Genomic DNA, 18951 nt, shown 5'->3' with positions numbered 1-18951 from the left:
ACTCACTATACACATGCAAATAAACTGTTGTTTCATGTAAGCAAGTTTAATGTTTTATAAATGTTAATATTATAAGCACATAGCACAGGAATATATATGTAAGACACTCAGTAAATGTTTGACAAATGAATTGAAACGATCTTCTGAGAAAGATAGGTACTTCAGAATAAATGCTTTTCTCAAAACCTGTAGAATAAGTTATACGATTACTATTAAAGAAGAATGGATTCTTTAACATTCCCTTCACTAACTAAACATGAATACTTAAGAAATGTTCGATTACATAAAATGGGATCTGTGTGTTTATGTTCTTAAATTTTCATACTGATAACTAGTGAACGTGATCCAAAATGTCCAACAACCTTAAAATAACAGTGATACTTCAGAAACAACGCAAATATTCTGAGTAATTTATTATCTGGAAAAAATAAATAGCAGGATTCTTTTGGGCAAAACCATGAATGGATTTGAATGACTCAGTGAAACCCTAAACAGCACACAAAATGTAGTATGTAGTTGCTTTTCTCTAGTGAGAAATCAGTGGCTTTCGTTAGATTATCACAGAGAGCAGACAGCTAGATAGTCCTTCCCATTTTGATTGAAGTGGTGAACCCTTAACTTTCTTGCTGCCCTGAGATCTATGCCAAGTTGTGCATTAGAATGCCCATGTGAATATCCCAGGACATTATCAGGTCTCTCTCTTTATGTCTTTCTTTGCTTATATTTTGTCCCACAAGATCATATGCTACTCAGACAATTGCAACACTTGCTGCATAAGGCCTCTTTAAAAATGCGTATTAAGTAACTGAATAAATGTCTGTGCTGCAAACATTTTGGACATAATTTTTTGTAGCAGTTAGTTTCCTGAAAAGGAACATTTTGGAGTTCATTGTGCAACAATATCAACATGACAAAAGGATTGTTATATTTAATACTGATTCTAAATAAAATTGTGAATTAAATTATTTTGTCTATCATTTTCTCCTCATAACTAAGGACTTATCCTCATAGACATCTGTGGAATCAGATTTCCAATTTCCTAGTTTGGCAAATTGTTTATCTCTGTTTTATATCTGTTAATCTCTTCTGTTAGCTGTCATATTTAAAAAAATACTATGAATCTGTGATTTTCCATATGAAAAGCTTATAAAACCTGCATGAATCCAAAACAAACAAACAAAAAACACATTAACAAACACATGGTGCCTGGATCATATTTCCAGAGACTGTGATTCAATGGTCTGAGCATGGCCTTTCAACTAAGTTACCTTGAGAAAATTAAACTTGAGCGCCCCAAGGCATGCATTGTATGTAATAAATTAATTTCTTTCCCACACTTCTAGAACTGCATCATTCTTGGGATAATTGAGATATATTACTCAAATCATTTTTTTAAAATTTTGTGGTTCAATTGAAGATCCAGGGTTGAAAAAACCAGAAAGTGATGGCAAGGCATTGAATGTGCAGCCAGATTTAACATAATTGAAATTATATTATTTTTCTGTCAATTGATGGGAATTTTGCAAAAATATTCCTTTTCCTATGTATAGGTCTACTCCAAAATTATTTAAATATAGCATTAATCATTAAGTTTTAGAACCTGTAAATATAGTTTATCAACTAGCTATTTGGTTTATATCAACTAAACGCTTCTTACTCTCAAGTTCATGAGTTATCTCTATTCCCTATGAAATTGGTATTTCCTTTGAGTTTTTTTGTTTTTTATTGAAATGTTCATTTTCACTTGAGATTAATTAAAATTTTTAAATTTCAGTTTACTTAACCGTGAAGTTTAATAAGGTTTAAGTAAAAATTATGAAAGTATGCACAGTGCATTATTTGCCCATGAATACTCGGAGCATAATTACTTTTTCTCATTGGTTATTGAAACAGCTACCATTTATGGAACAATAATTCAGAATTATGCCATATATTTGACATACGCTTTATATTTGTAAACGTTTATTTGTTTTTTGGAGAAAGTTTCTTGTCCAGTTGTTTCTTGTTTCTCTTTTTCGAATGATAATTTCACTAGATATGGAATACTATGTTTGTTTTTCTTTGAATACATTCAATATTTTATTCCACTCTCTTCCTGCTTGAATGATTTCTGAAAAGAAGCCTAATGTAATACTTATTCTTATTCCTCTATAGATAAGGTGTTTTTATTCTGGCTTCTTTAAAGAATTTCCCTTTGCCTCTAATTTTCTTCAGTTTGAATATAATATGTTTAGGTATAAATTGTTTTTCCTCTGTTTACTTCTGTTCCTTCTTCTGGTTCTCTTTACTCATATGTTATACCTTTTTTAATTGTCCCACAATTCTTTGATAATCAGTTTTATCTTTTTAATTCTTTATTATTTTTGCATTTCAGTTTTGAAAACTTCTATTGATATTTATTCAAGCTCACTGATTTTTTCCCCAGCTGTGTTCAGTCTACTGGTGAGCCCATCAAAAGCATTCTTTATTTCTATCACAGTGTTTTTGATTTATAGCCATTCCTTTTGAGCCTTTGTTAGACTTTTCAGCATTTCCATGTCTCTTTTTATCCACTTCTTCTCTTGTATGTTATTTACTTTTTCCATTAGAGCCCTTAGCATATTAATCATAGTTATTCTAAATTCTCTGTTTAATAATACCAACATTTCTGCCATACGAGTCTGGTCCTGATGCTTACTTTATCGCTTTAGACTGTGGGATTTTTTTGTCTTTTATCATTACTTGTAATTTTTTGTGGAAAGGTAAACATGATGTATTGTGTAAAAGAAAGGTAAATATTTCTTTAGTGTGAGGTTTTCTGTTTATTTGGCTAAGAGTTAGGCTGCGTTCAATGTGTGCTGTAGCTGTAGTATTAGAAGCTAATATTTCCTCTGCTGTGTTTGTTTCTGTTTTCTCTGTTGTCTTTGGATTTTCCTTGAACCTCCTTAAAGAGGGTCCAATATTTCAGTTCTTTTACCTGTAATTTCCTGCTATTATACAGGAGCCCTGTTGGGTTGATCAGGTATAGGGGGAGGTAAAATCTTCTATAGTTCTGTAATTAGGTCTCAGTCTTTAAGTGAGCCTGAGTTACGTATATCTCTTTCTTCATGTCAGTTGGGCTTGGGTAGCATCCTAGTCATTTAGGCACTGGTAAAATAGTTTCTCTTGAGGACAGGCCTTGTCAAAGAGAACAGATAGCTCTGAGTATATTCAGAAATGATTACTTACACCCACTCCCCCACCGCATGCACACACACCACACACACAACCCCCCACACCAGAATTATAAGAAATTTGTCTCTGATCTTTAGCATAAAGGATCTACTTGGGCCATTGGAAGAAAACTCAGAACTAAGTGTGAAGGACTCCCTAAAACTAGGCCCTCTCACACTTTTTAACTCTCAAGCTCCTCCACACTGATCTTCTAGCAGCTCATCATTACAATTAGAAGTGTCTTTACAGATGATGGCTCTGGAAGTGGGATTGTGTCCCTGGTAAACTGTAATTCTCCATATATGCCTGTCTGTTTCTCCAATTCACATGGCATCAATTTTCCCCATGACTTCGATTCTCTGATGGGCCTAAGAAGAGTAGCTGATTTTCAATTTGTTAAATTTCTGTTGTTGTAGGAATAGGAGTAACAACTTTTAACCTGTTTACATTTGGGAATGCAAACGAAGTCTAGAAGCTCATTTGAAGCTCTAAGAACACTATAAATTACCAATTCACATCCTCATTTTAGGATTATGAAACTGATGCATAGAGATTAACTCACCCAATCCACTTTCCACAGTGTGAAAAGTTGTAGAGCTGGGATTAGATTCCAGATATGCTGACAGCAAAAGACTCTACTTTTCAATAGCATCCTAGTATACTTCTCCTTGCTAAGATTAGAAAGACTGTAAAATACAGTTTCACATATTTCAAATGAAAATAAAAGCTTAAATATGGTGAAGATATATTGTTCATCTACATAAAATCTGAGTTAAGGATCCATTGTGACTAACTGCAAGTGGTATAAGCAGGCAGAAGCTCAGAAGCAAGAGGAGGCTTCAATCATTTAAGATACAATTTTGCACATGGATCTCTGTAATTAGCAAATATTTAGATGGGAGGGAGAAGAAAAGCTCATGTGTTTATAGTCCTAAGCCTTCTCCTTTTCTGCCCTTGGGGTACAATGGTGTAATTTGAAAGTTAGAACATTTATTCTGGACTCAATTATTACTATCCCACTTGTGAAATATGTCATTTAAAAGCTAGCTGGAAAGTCTTAGTTTTTCAGATTTTTATGGATATCTTGTTAAATCACGTTGCATTTCCTCAAAAATCCACCATTTTTTCTCATAAATTCAGGGAAAGAGCATAAGACTTTCCCGCAAATGATATATACTAACCCTTTACAAAGTCTTTTTGTAAATGCCTAATGGGTTCATCTTGTCCACTGCCCAGACAGAGGTGATTTATCAAGACAGAGACATTGCAACAGAAAGAGTTTAATAGATGCAAAGCCAGCTACACAGGATACCAGATTTATATTAAGATCTGCCTCAAATTAGTTTCCTTAAAAATTCAGGTGCTATGGTTTTTTTAAAGATAGCTTGGCAGGTAAGGGACTAGGGGATGCTGATTGGTTGAGTTAGGGATGGAATCACAGGGATTTGAAGCTGTCCTCTTGCCCTGAGTCAGTTCCTGGGAGGCGGCCACAGGAACAGATGAGCCAGTTTACTGATCTGGGTGGCACCAGCTGATCCATCAGAATACAGGTTCTGAAAAAATACCACAAACACCAATCTTAGGTTTTAACAATAGTGATGCTATCCACAGGAGAAATTGGGGAGGTTAGGAATCTTGTGGCCTCTTGCCTGCATGACTCTTGAGCCATAATTTCTAATCTCGTGGCTAACTTGTTGGTTTTACAAAGGTGGTACCCAAACAAGGAAGGTATTTCCTTTGAGGAGGCGCTGTTATCATCTTTGTTTCAAAGTTAAACTGCAAATTAAATTCTTCCCAAATTTAGTTCAGCCTACGACCAGAAATGAAGAAGGGCAGCTTGGAGGTAGAAGCAAGATAGAGTCAATTAATTCAGATCTCTTTCTCTGTCATAATTTTCTCACTGTTATAAGCTTTGCAAAGGTGGCTTCAGTTTCATCTCCTTAAATATTTTAAACTTACAGTTTATTTCTACCAGTATAATATATCTTAATAAAAATAAGTCTCTGTATCTGCAGTGTTTTACTTAAAAGAACATAAACATCTGCATTGGAGAAATATTCAGAAAATTATCTCTTTAAAGTTAATTAGGCTGGGTTTTCCAATTTTATCCTGATGTTTAATATGGGTTTGCAATAATCCAGACTCATAAAAATCCTAAGATGGAAAAAGCAATATGAAAGAGAATATACGGATATGTAACATTATATGTTTTACAGTACAATAAATTAGAATCTTCAGGAAATTATTTACAAGAATTTGTGGCACTAATTATGCATTATTTACCTGACGGGTCATAACAGCTTTCTTTTTTAAAAAAGTGTCTAACGTAAGCCCTGTTAAAAACACGTTTGTCACAAAAAATTTCAAGAAGCCCTTCTGGGTACTGTGTTGGCATCAGTTTGTGTAAAAACAACCATCACATTCTATTTATTTCTAAAAGTGTTTCTGGCCCATCTTGTTTCCCCATAGCCTGATTTTATACCATATTAAGTGCCTAGCTGAAATAGCTCAAGGTTAGCTATTGCACAAATAATTTATTTTTATACATTATTCAATATTGTCTTCTTATAAGCATTACCCGAAAATCAAATGGGAATTACTCTGTGAATTATAATTTGAGGAGATTCACATAATATAGTATATCCAGTGCTTCCCAGATGAACAAATGGTGAATTTTTTCTATTGATGGTGATTCACATTTTTGAGTATTTAGTTCACTTGTTTATCTAAAAAGCATTAAACAATAGGTATGATCATTACTTCCATTTTATAGAGAATGAAATTGAGTTACAGATAGTTTCCCCCAATCACATAGCTAATAACTGATGGTGCCTGGATTCTAATACAGACATTTGGACTCTAAGAACCAAAGCTATTTAGTACTCTGATAATAGAAGGAAAATGGAAGGTGTAGAAATTTCATCTTAATGAAAATATAACTATTAAATAGTCTTGGGTTGAATTTGAATCCTGAGCATAATGGAATCTCAGCTAGGTCCTTGGTTCAGTAGAGTGACACTATTTTTTTCTTTCTTTGTTTCTTTTTTTCTTTTCCTTTAACTGCTTGTACTATTAAGCACTCACTAAAGTCATTTTGTTTTCATTCACTGTATAACCCTAAGAGACTGTGGGCAATAGCCCTGGTTTTCTAGAAGTTCCTCCCTGTTACCCTTTTGTCACCACCAACAGCAATTTGATCATGGAAAGGAAGCCACTTGCCATAGTTTGATCCACATCTTACAGCAGCTCTCCACTGATTACTATTTTTTTTTTAGTTTAATAGCTAATTATTCGTTCTCTTTACCATGTGTTGCATGTACAACTCTCCTTCTTGTCTTTAATTCCGGTTTGACAACAAGTGTGCTGTCTACAGATTACATCTATGATAACCTCAAAACTTTTCAGGGCTCAACTGTAGTTAAATTAAGTTTAATATAATTTACATTTAGTTATATTTCTCTTTGCTAAACTGGCTAGACATTTATTATAATCTAGCCTCTTTGTTCTGAAAATAGTTATTTTAAAACTTCAATGCATTCCTCTATCCAATGAAATTCTATATTAAGTTATTGTATTATTATTAAAGAAAGTAATTATTTGGCGTGCTTGATAATAAATAATCCATGTCAGTGGCATTATTAATATTAGCAACCTTAATTATATTTAAGTCATAATATACAGATTATACTACTAAAATTTTATTTTCAGTTATGGTTATTTTTATATGTAACCATTAAAAATAACAATATATTTCTTTATTACTTAGTATAAAACTTTAGCAAAGAAGTTGTTGGAATTACCTTTAAATTTATACTTAAGTTACTGAACTCATTATTTCAAACATCTTGGTCTGAATCAATATCAGTAATGATTCATTCTTTTGATTAAGAAGTGACTCTGTCTGTAGATGTCAGATAATTACCAAGATGACCTATAATGAGAACATTTCACAACTCTCTGACTTAAGTTTCTTATTCCCTCAACAGCATAATGACTTCCTTCTAGATCTTTTTATAGTGTCTCCATGCTCCTGGGGTTTCTTTTTATGATCAGTCCCTGTCAACGGTGGTTCCTATCATCTGTTTTTAGACAAAGAAATGTGTCTCTATACAATAAAATTGTGTTTTGTCTAGATATTTTAGAATTTTGGCATGTTTTCTTATTTTTTTTAAAGAAAGGTTTGTCCTACACATCTGTATATAAATTGCATATAACTGCAACAGTAAAAGACGATACAGGATACCCTTTATTATTCTGTTAAGTGCTCTGGGGGGAATTAAAGTGGTTTCTTTTATATAAAATATTAAGATTAGAAATGCAAGATGTTCTTCTGATCCTGCCCCTTAGGAATATGGTATTTAAAAGTAAGTAAGGAAAAATGGTAACATCTTGATGACACTCACTGTGAGTCTTGAAATTCACAGCAATGCCAATATACAAAGAGTACTTTGTAGATGAAATAACAAATTTGTTGTTAAATCACTTGATTATTTCTTAAACAATTTCTAGGAATAGAATATTGTACCAACCTTGTAATTTTTCTTTAGAATTCATAATAGATTCTGAAAATTCAGATACAGTTACTAATGTTAAAAATTTCTTGCGTGTTAGGAACATTGTATACTTTTTTTTCTCATGCTAAAAATGTAATTAATTTTTTTATTGACCTTTAAACTGATTGACAGATTTTCCATAGCTGTCAGCTTTGTGGCTTAGTTCTTTCCTAGTTCATGTTCATGTCTAGCGAAGGCAAGGAAATGACCTTGTTTGTATTCTGTGTCTTTGTTAAAGTAACATGAAAGGAAGACTAATGCTTATATATGTTCAACATATTTGAGGTTGTTCTTGACTCTTAAAAACAGTTTTATATTTCAAGACAAACTTTGGTGAGGAACGTAAACCCTATTAACATCTTGATTCTGTCTTAACTACTGAAGCCTCAAACTGGTTAATTAGAGGTCGTCACTCTTTTCATAATATTTGCATTTGTGTTAGGAATAAAAGTTGTTTAAAGAATTGGAACTCTAGAAATAATGATGACTCAAATGACAGATTCATGCTTATTTCCCAGAAGCTACAAAGCAAAGGAGAGGAATTTTTCTTCTAAGTTAATAAAACTATGATGTGCCAGGAGAAAACCAGATCCTAACACAAAAACAAACCCCCACAAAACAACACAGGTACATTTTCATGAAAACATCTCATTCTTCTGTACTTTGTAACTAGTATTCTCTTAATTTCAGATCTTACATTAAAATTATAAGCATAAATACCTACAAATTATATCCAGACCATTTAAGAGGTTTCCATGTTCTAGTTATGGAAGTCAATCAAAACAAAGTTGTGTGTTTGAAAGAGAATGAGAATCATGATCATCCCTTTCTCCAATTTGCCATGTTGGAGAGTTTCCATTTTTTATCTAAAAAATTATAGGCTTTGTAATTAATTTCCTATAACCTTTCCATCACATAATTCTTCAAAATGTTACAAGTCTGAGAAGAAAGCAATAAATGCAAAATCAATGTGTTAAGATTTAAAATCTCAACGAGTTATATCTTCTAAGGGAAAAAGAATGGTCTTTTTAAAATCAAATGGTCTTTTAAAATCAAAGTAACATGATTTTAAGACTCTGGATCCTTCAATTAGCACCTAAAAATAGAATAACAATGACACAGAAGTATTTCTTTCAACTTATTATGTAGTATAATAAATGGCTTAATTCAAATAATATTTGATAAATATGACTGAATGTGTCTTTTCTGCCCAATAGTGGAAATATGTATGAAGCTAGTATACAAAAATATATATTTCCTCAAAACTGTGTTACTAGTTTTGATTCTATCACTAGTCTGGTAGATGCCAAGGCTATGGGAAACTCAAACTTTAGTTTTGCAGTGGCTTTGGTAATTGTATTAGTTATCTGGGGCTGCCATAACAAAGTACCACAAACTGAGTAGCTTAAAACAACCGAAATTTATTTTATCACAGTTCTGGAGACTAAAGTCTGAAATCAAAGTGTTAGCTGTGTCAGCTCCTTCTGAAGGCCCTGAGGGAGAATCAGTTTCATGTCTCCTTCCTAGTTTCTGGTAGTTGTTGGAAATCCTTAATGTCCCTTTACTTGTAGGCTCATCACTCCAATCTTTGGCTCCATCTTCACATAGTAGACTCGTGTGTGTGTGTGTGTGCGCGCTCATGTGTGTGTATCTGTGCTTCTTCACTTCTTATAAGGACCTTGGTGGTATTGGATCAGAGCCCAAAAGAATCCAGAATAACCACATTCTTATATGATCACATCTTCAAAGGTCCTACTTTCAAATAAGTTTCAATTCACAGGTACCAGAGATTAAGATTTCAATGTATCTCTTTGAGGTCACAATTCAACCCACAACAGTAACTAGTCTGACTCTAAGCCCTAGTCTCCTCGTCAATAATACAAAAAGGAGAAAAATACCTGCATTTCAGGAATAAATGAGAGACCATTTATAAAAGTAATTATTTAACAATTGTATAATAAAGACTTTTATAACAAACACAGTGTCTGGAACAAGACAGTATATATTAAAGTGAAAGAAAATTACAACATTTGAGTTACAACTTCATATTTTAATGATCAGTTTCAAAGATATCAAAAGATATTTTATAAATTAAATAATATGTCAAATATATAGACATTTGCAGTGTATCTATTATTTCACTATCAAGGAAAGCAATTTCAAAGTTGCGTATGTCTCTATAATTGATGGTCAAATTGGGATGAAAGCTTAAATGTCCTTCTTTCCAGGCTTGCCCTTATCTACTCAAATATCTTCCCTGTCGTTTATAATGTACTTTTATATAGGCTTACAACTAGATGCACTATCTTATTCGTTTATCTCAAGTCTGTGGTTATAACTTTCAAATGTAAAAGGACATAAATATCATCCAAGAATTTGCTAGAAAAATGAGGAAGTAGCATCATAATTATTTTGAAGTTTAAAAGCATACAAAATTTTTTGGAAGCATGTGAGAAAGTGGCCACTCAGGCAATCTCAACTATTTCATATTCATTACAGATACATGCTTCATGGTAGATGAATCCTATATTGTTGAAATTTTCTGTTGAGTGGTATTAATTTAGAATCTGAGATGTGAGAGTTCCCTTGACGCCCTTGAGGGACTTGAGACAGCGGTGGCTCAAACCCCTTGTGGAAGGGTGAGCATACAGTTGAGCAGGTGGAGGAGCTGGGGCGAATGCCTTCGGGCGACAGCAGAAACATACCTTGTACCAGCCTGTGGCAGCATCCAGGGGTTGCACATGACCTCTGAAGCCCCAGAAGGCAAGTGTTACAAACAATGCTTTTTAGCATTTTCTGTCTATGGACAGCTAAGTGTTAACCAGTTGAGTGGAGGGCTAGGGTGACATCCTTTCACTCCATGCCCTCTGGTAACCGGGTTCTTGTCTAGCATCCAGGAAGAATCAGGTCACATGAACCTGAAAGATGGTGAATGCAGAGATTTATTGAGCTGTGGAAGTGGCTCTCAGCAGGTTGGGGAGCTGGAAAGGGGATGGAGTGGGAAGATAATCTTCCCCTGGAGTTCAGCCATCCCTGGACGAAATCTTCTCTGACCATCCCTGGAGGAACTCCTTTCTGACTGTAGTCTCTGGTGTTAAGTTGCCTCTTCTCCTTTCAATATTCATATGCTTCTTCTCTTCTCTCCTTCTCTGCCATGCTACTCTGCTTCTCTGCCAGTGGAACTTGGGGTTTGTATGTTTACAGGGTGGGGTATGTGGAGGGTCCAAAGGCAACCTTTGGGCAGGAAAACAGGGGTGTGAAGTTCTCATTTAGGGTCTTGAGGTGGAACCCTCGCCAGGGACCCTGCCCACTTCTACCCAGGATTTCCCTGCCTCCTGTCCATATCAAATCCGTGTCCATGAAATCATAGAGTTAAAGGAAGTCTGGGAGTTGTCGAATTTATACTTTCATGTACAAGTTCACTTTCTAATGTTGAAAAAATTACATAAGAAGAGATGTCAAAGTTCCTCAGCAGTTTATTCTTTTAACTCTATATGAAAGTAATAATTTAAATTTCTCAGCAGTGAACTCTGGACATTCTAATTTACTTGGATCAATCTTGCTGTTTTTCTGCTGAACACCACACAAAGGTGACTTTATGACTAAAAGTATGAGATAGCAGAATAAATGTGGTACAAGAGAGTCAAGCTTTCACCTAGGCATCAGTTTAGGTCAGAGAGAAAGAAAATTTAAAAAAGAAAAGCAGTAGAGGGCGGGGGAGAGAGAGAGAAAGAGTGAGAGAGAGAGAAGATCTAGTCACCGTCTATAGAAGAGAGTGAAGCCATACTGCTACTCACCAAAGGGCTTTTGGCTGATGAGTGCTGTGCTCAGATAGACTTCTGGGAACCTGAGGAGTTTCCCTTACTTACTCATCATGTGGCCACTGAGAAGTGGTTTCTCTCTCAGGGGCAACTCTCCAGGGTTAGTCTCCCCCTGACCTTGCCCATCAGCATTACATGGTCAGCTAACCCCCTGCCAACCCCCAAACCGAAAACTTGATTTATTCTTGGTTGAAGAAGAACAGTTGTTCTTTCTTCAAAAACTATATTTTCATATTTCATTTGTCAAATCCTCATTTCCCAGAATAGAAAGAAGGAAAAACTAAGGAAAGAAGATAGTGTGAAGGGGAAAATGGGAGGGAAATAGCAAAAAGGAAGGCCCCTGCAAGTATCTATATTTACAAAGACAAGAAAGAAAAAAAGGCACAAGTTGAGTGTTCATATTAAAAAAATAAAAAGAGACCATTTCAATATGCCTGCTCATTACTCCAGAGACCATTTCAATACGCCTGCCCATTACTCCACACTGATGAGTAAAATTCCTTAGATGTCTTCTTTGTTATGCTGCCATTAAAGTGTAGAAAATGTTCGCCATTGACCTAAAATGAAGTACGCATAGAATGGAGTTACTCGTCATCTTTTCCATCTCTGATAAACAATATATATTCTTTAAACTTTCCATATAAGTAGTCTTTGAAGTATTTTAACAACCCTTAAATTCTAATCTGATGATCTGTTTACTTTTCAAATTTTTATTTACTTTTTGTGAAAGTAAACTTTGGGAAGAATACACTGATCCCCTGCTGTGTATCTACATAAAATAAGAAGAAAGAAATGAGAGGGATAGACAATAAAGAGAGAATAAAATAACAGAGGAAAAATAAAATGAGTAATATTCATTTAAAAAAAAGCAATTGGGGGCTTCATTCATCTCTCATTAGACAGATTCCCTTTTAGTTTAAAGATGGAACTTAATTTTCTGATCTCTCAATTTCTCAACTCCACTGTTGGTACATATGATAACACACACACGCACACACACCTCTCTCTTTCTCCCTCTCTTTTTCCCTCTCTGTGTCTCCTGATCCAACTTAAATTGTTAACTCAGAGAGGGGTGGGACTAGATATACAAATCTCTCTATAACATCCCAAGTAATACAGCATCTGACACTAGTAGCATAAAATTGAAATTGAAAAATACGTATTTTGGGTTTTTTAAAGACAGTGATACTAGCTTATATTACTTAAATACACTGTTTTACTTATGGTCCTAACATGTTTTGTTTCTTTGTTTTTATGTCAGTCTCACTTAAACCTTGTTTAAGGAAATGAAAGAGCTAAATGCCAAGGTATTAAAGAGCTGCTTTGCTTTATTTTACTTCATGCTTCTCATTGTGACACACACTTAAGAAGGGTCTGTAAAGCAGAGAGTTCTATCTTATATATTGCATACTGATTGGTTATATACCAGGGTTGAAAGAGAAGCTAGCATGTAAGAGAAACCTGCATGGGATCCTTTATCCCAAGGGATTACTGGGGACCCACAGATGTGCCTTAATAACCTTGAATTCAGCACAGACTTCTTGGGAACAAAAGAGACAACACTTGCCTGCTTTCCATCTAAATGCTTAGACTTTAATAAGAACTTTATTGTTTTCTATAGGAAGCTATAAAATCTGAAACATTTCTCAAGACATCACACGTGGGTAACTCCACTGCCTCTCATTGAGATTTCTACGGTCTCTCAGGGCATATTTCAATTTCACTAGGCTTAGCACACTTTTAGGATATGGCCCACAATGAGCAAAAGAAAAATATATTTCTGCCAAGCTAGACTAATTGTTGCTTCTCAACTTTTTCATTTTAAAAAAATCAGTCTGCATATAATCCTCTAGTTGCTCACTCAAAAAAAGAGTGTTGTGGGAAACTTGCTATGCAGTAATGGTAAAGGGTCAGGTATAACTAAGGAGTTATATGTAGTCGTCTTGGGTGGTCAAGAATATTGTGGGTTGAAAAAGTTTTCTTCAAAAACTTCTGGCAATAAAAGGAAAGCCTCTATTGAATCCATGTTACTCTTCCTTTGCTTTTCTAGCTCAGAAATATTTTACAAATCAATATAAAATTTTGAAATTAAATTATGAGCTAGTGTTCCAGTGGATACATAGTCTTAGTTAAAATTTTATTTGGTAAGCACGTCCCTTTTTTCGTAAACACTCTCTGATGCATTATCTGTATATCACACCAACATTAGGTGAGGCTTTAACTGCTTTCTTCTTGTAAAGTATTCTTAGCCTTTTTTCTACACAGAAACACTCATAGCTTTTACACAAAGGAAGCATGTATGTTTCCCTGGTGTGAACTCAGTACCAACAAAGCCAAAGCATTTCCATCTGTCATTACGTACCAACACAGCTAAGATTACTTAGAGAATCATGTTGATAAAATGACTCAGACAACCCCATTTTTCATTTTGTAGGTAGATGTGTTTTATTATGTATTTTACTAAGCAGAAGAGAAAAATGTCTGCATTTTTTTCTTTTAAAAGTGGGTACATTTGAACCATATTAAAAAGTAATAATTTATCTTAAAATATAAAATTCCTATTAACATTGTTGCTTCTTTTGTTTTGGGGATACATATTATTTATAAAATGCTTTAGAATTTTTTATTATTTTGTTTTTTCTTTCATAATAAATGTGACGATTTGACTGAATGTGACAGTTTTTAGTTTATGTGTGTGTGTGTATACAGATCCAATTGCCATTATTTTTGGATTCTGTTTTTGTGAGTTTTTGCCTATTTGCTAAAATATATTCATAACTCCAAAATCAGTATTGGTGATGCTACAATGGTTATTCAGAGCAAAAAAGTGAAATGGCTCCATGTATACATTTCCAGCTGAAGTCAAACAAGAAGATGCTCTGTTTAGTGCCAGATTTTTCACATTTTTGTGCTTTCTCTTGCTGATTCCATTGCTGACAATGGCCCTATTTATAGTGTTGAATTGCTATCATGTTTCTCAGCACAAGAAGGTTGTGATGTGCCTTATGGAGAAAATACACTTGTTAGATAAGTTTTGTACAATCATAGTTTTCTTAGTTGTAATTTCAAAGTTAACAGATCAACAATATGTATTTAAAAAGGTGTTTTTATACAGAAACATACCTACAAATATTTCTCAGTTGATGAAAATGTTGTGACCAGAGACTTGCAAGAAGCTAACCCTGCCTTTCCCCTAGGTGCAATGGTTCACTAATTCAGTTTTCATACTGACTTTGTAGAATACAACTATTGCAAATAACAAAAATCAACTGCATATTTTCAAAATAATGAAAACATTTGTTTCATGTATAAAGTTGAACATAAGTAAAATGTTTTATTGAACTTCTTAAAGAAAAAGGAAAATGTTCAAAAGATAATTCAAGAAATAGAGATTTCTATGGTCAGTCATATGAATACTGAAAGGAACTTACATAGCTGGTTAATTTCTTTGAGGCAATTAACCATAATATCTGGAGTTATTTTTCTATCAGAAAGAAATTATTTGAATATTTTTTTACAAAAACCTATAACTTGTGCAACTTCACTAAGTTCATGATCTTTAATCAATGGTTACTAAATATGTTCTCTTAACATATTTCTCTATAACAAAAATAATTTCTCTATAACAAAAATAATATTAAAAGCATGCTTTTATGCAATCTGATAATGCCATAGTCTGAAGAGAATAATTCTTTTACTTAAAATAATTCTTTTACTTAAAATTGGTTTTGAATGAAGTCTATAGTTTTATGCGCTATGCAACTTAAAATTTTATCCAATGGCATTTCATCATTCTCTCACAAATATATGTACAACTCATTGATAAATCCAGAATTTAGTATAATATTTATAATAGGGAAAAAGCTAGTTGCATTTCATGCACATGGTTCTATTTGCATACTCTATTTTGAAGCATATTATTTGCCTTAGTCCAAACCATTATGTTGTTAAATAAAAGTAGGTGAGATTAAGAGGAGCCCTGGATGAAGTTTTTTAAGATATGACCTAAAAAACCCACATAACTATATAGCGGGACGATATTTAGAAATAAACCAAGTGGTATTTATTTTCAACTATAGATCGAACCTTGTAGACATGGTGGTAAAATTACTTCAAACATAGCAATCCTAGATGCAGCCTAGACGAATTATAGACAATTTAAAGAACACTCCATATGTTCAGCATGAAGCATTTGCTGAGGAACAGAAATGACTGAGCCCAGTGCCCAGGTAAATGGCTTGAGTTAATCTTTCACTTCTCTTGACTACTCCCACAGCAAAGAAAATCCAGTAGCACTAAACTCTGCAGTGGAAAGTACCTTAAAAGCAGTTAGTGCTTACTCACCATAATTGGGAGAGTATGACAAGACTATAAGGAAAGCAATAAATCTAAACAAAAAGTGACTGGATATTGCCAGTCAACCTCAAAAGACTGGCAGTGCTAGGGAGATCCAAACTAAGGGCTAGTTATGCAACAAGGATTCAATATACCAGATCACTGGAAGACCAAGCAAGGACCTGAGGAACAGCCTGACTGTCACACCAGTCTACCCATGCCTGGAGGATGTGTATGCTTTTCCCTGCATGCAGATACCATCTTGAAAGTTAGAAGAAGTGGAAAATCCTTAAGTAATCACCTGAAAGAGACCACGTTAAGCAAAAATAGAGAAAGATTTCATTGAGAACTGGAGCATTTTTTCTCCAATCTAGGAGAATGGTCTTTGAAAGAAAGTTGAGTAAATGGACAAAGCTGGATCTTAGTTGCCTCACTCACTATCTCTGTAACCTAAGGGGATATTAGGTTAGTGTGGAAAATTGCACAATATTTTACAAAATATGGTAGAGAATACATGTGGTCATAAGTCAATTGGAACTATTTACTTAAGCAAAAATACAGTATTGCCAAGAAGTTGGTAATTTAAAAAATGAAAAAAAAATCCATTTATTGACTTATTGCTTGGTATTTGGGGTTTAGCCCAATATACCATTTGCTGTAATCACAGTGAAACCACTGAATTATACCATGAGTAAAACTATACACTAGAGAGGTTTAAAGTGCATTCCAAGGCCCAAGGGGTAATATCCCTGTAGCAAATTGAAATGGTTATGGGCTGAACAAGTAGCAACAGCTACTGGTATGTTGCAAGAGAATGAGACCTTTTCATTAATGCAACTCATGCAGGTATGACTCCTCGGTCGAACATGAAACCAAACCATACTAAAAAAAATTCAGAAAAAGTTTAGTATCATAGCAGTAACATATAGGACATTGACTAATTCATCCCTCTTCTCCACCCTCCAGCATGAACACACTTTTGAAACAAACATTTAGAGCAATAGAAACAGCTTCCATGTTGTTATTCCAACAAGATTCCTTTTTCCAGTTATTAATATAATACTCTCCCCAGTGTTCCTCAGTTCTTTTGCCACTCTCATCTTAAATTTATCACTTTCTGTAGGAGTAAAATATGGGCTCTGTAAATGAACAATTGATGAAAGAAAACAATGTCAACACAAATCCTTTATAACAATTTTTTAATTACTGGCCATACATTTCAGCACTTTTTAACTACCACTGAGGTATTATAGTGTCTTAAATGAGGGAGGATAATGCAATTTACTTAAATAAATTATACGTGCCATCCAGAATATGTGAAATTTTTACTAATATAACACAAATTAAGTTATAAAAGTCAATAAGAAATCATGCCAAGTTTGCAGAAGTTTTGCATTAAATAAGCTTCCCTTTAATTCTCATCTTCAGCATTAAAAGTGTATCAACAGGTTCTCATTGTAACTGCAAAGAGAAAGATACCATCTCTCTGTCTATTTATGCTGAAGTTAGCAAACCACAAAGAATCACTTGTCCACAACAGCCACATATAGGTGTGTCTTTTGGATAAGAGAAATCCATATATCACACCCTGAGACTATTATAATAATAAACTCACTTTTCTCTAGCAACTCTTTCCCTCTAGTTACCACAGAGCTTGTTGAAAGAATTGTGTGTACTGTCTCTTAGTTTCCAACTCTTCATCTCTCATCAACAACTGAACTTGGTGTGCTCTTGTGTCCATTGTATAGAAGGTGCTCTCACTAAAGTTAAATGTGAACTTGCAATACCCAAATCAAGTAAATATTTCTCAGTTCTTATCTTACCAGATTTGCCTATCTGCTGGCATGATTCCCCTACCATTTTTCAGAAACAGAAATTGTTAACTACTGCCTTCAAACACAGAAGATGTAAGTACAAACTTCAAAAAAATCCATTTATCATAAAAACCGATGTTTCACTATTTCAGATCATGATTGCCTCACACCCCATCTTCTGAGTATTCTACATTTCTTAAGTTGCTCATCCAGAAATTACTGTCCATATTTAGGGAAAGAGAGGTTGCTTCTGAACCCATGGCTGAGAGAGATTTGCAACCTGATGAAACTTCACATCAGCTGTGTGATATTTGATAAATGACTTAGCATCTATTAATCTATTTCATCTTGTGAAAAATGAAAATTTTAATACCAACAAATAACTAAAATGTAATGGGAGTTGTCCCTGTATTTAGCTGCATTGATAAGTGCTTTACCTGTATTGACTCTTTTATTCTTAAAACAAATTTATAAGAAGTAGGTCATTATAATCTTTCTTTCCCATATTTAGAGAGGGAAGTTTCACAATTTTGAAGGACTCCCCTTAGGTTACAGAGATAGCGAGTGGGGCAACTAAGATCCAGCCTTTGTCCATTTACTCAAAAACTACCAAACTCACAGCATTGTTATGGTATAAAAAATCTACTATTATGTCCAGCATATAATTATTACTCATTAGTTAACATCTGCAATTAAAAAATATTGAAATGGTTTAATAATATTTCAAAATGTAAACATTTCTGAATATATCCTTTTTAATCTTTGCAGGAGTATTGGCAAAAATATGTACTAGCCAAGAATAAAAATTAAGAACAAATTTTTTTTTGCTTAAAAAAGGCATCTAGCACAGAAAAGTATGGGAATATTCACAAATGGATTAAAATGCACAGATAAAAAAACAAAAGTGAAATGAAAGAAAAGTGGCATCCAGGAGGACAAGAAAACTCAAAGAATCTCCCAATGTGACTGTGTCTGAAATAGCTTCAAAAGTTTCAGTCAGCTTGAATACACAGGCCAGCTAGAGGTGAGCTGGTGCTCTGGAATAATTATTTCCATTCTTACCTTTTTGACATATAAACCAAAATAGTGCCAGTATTCCTCTTTGTCTTATGAGATGAATGTCATTTGTTAGTTCTCTTATATTTTTACAGAAATTGTATTTTAAAAGGTAAGCCTATTTGTAGAACAAACACAAAGGAAATAAATTCCTTTATAATAAATTATTGTGGCATTAAA

The sequence above is a fragment of the Homo sapiens genome, chromosome 8 (assembly GCF_000001405.40).
Source record: "Homo sapiens chromosome 8, GRCh38.p14 Primary Assembly".
In the NCBI taxonomy this organism is placed as follows: Eukaryota; Metazoa; Chordata; class Mammalia; order Primates; family Hominidae; genus Homo; species Homo sapiens.
Note: the sequence above shows the minus strand (reverse complement) of the source record.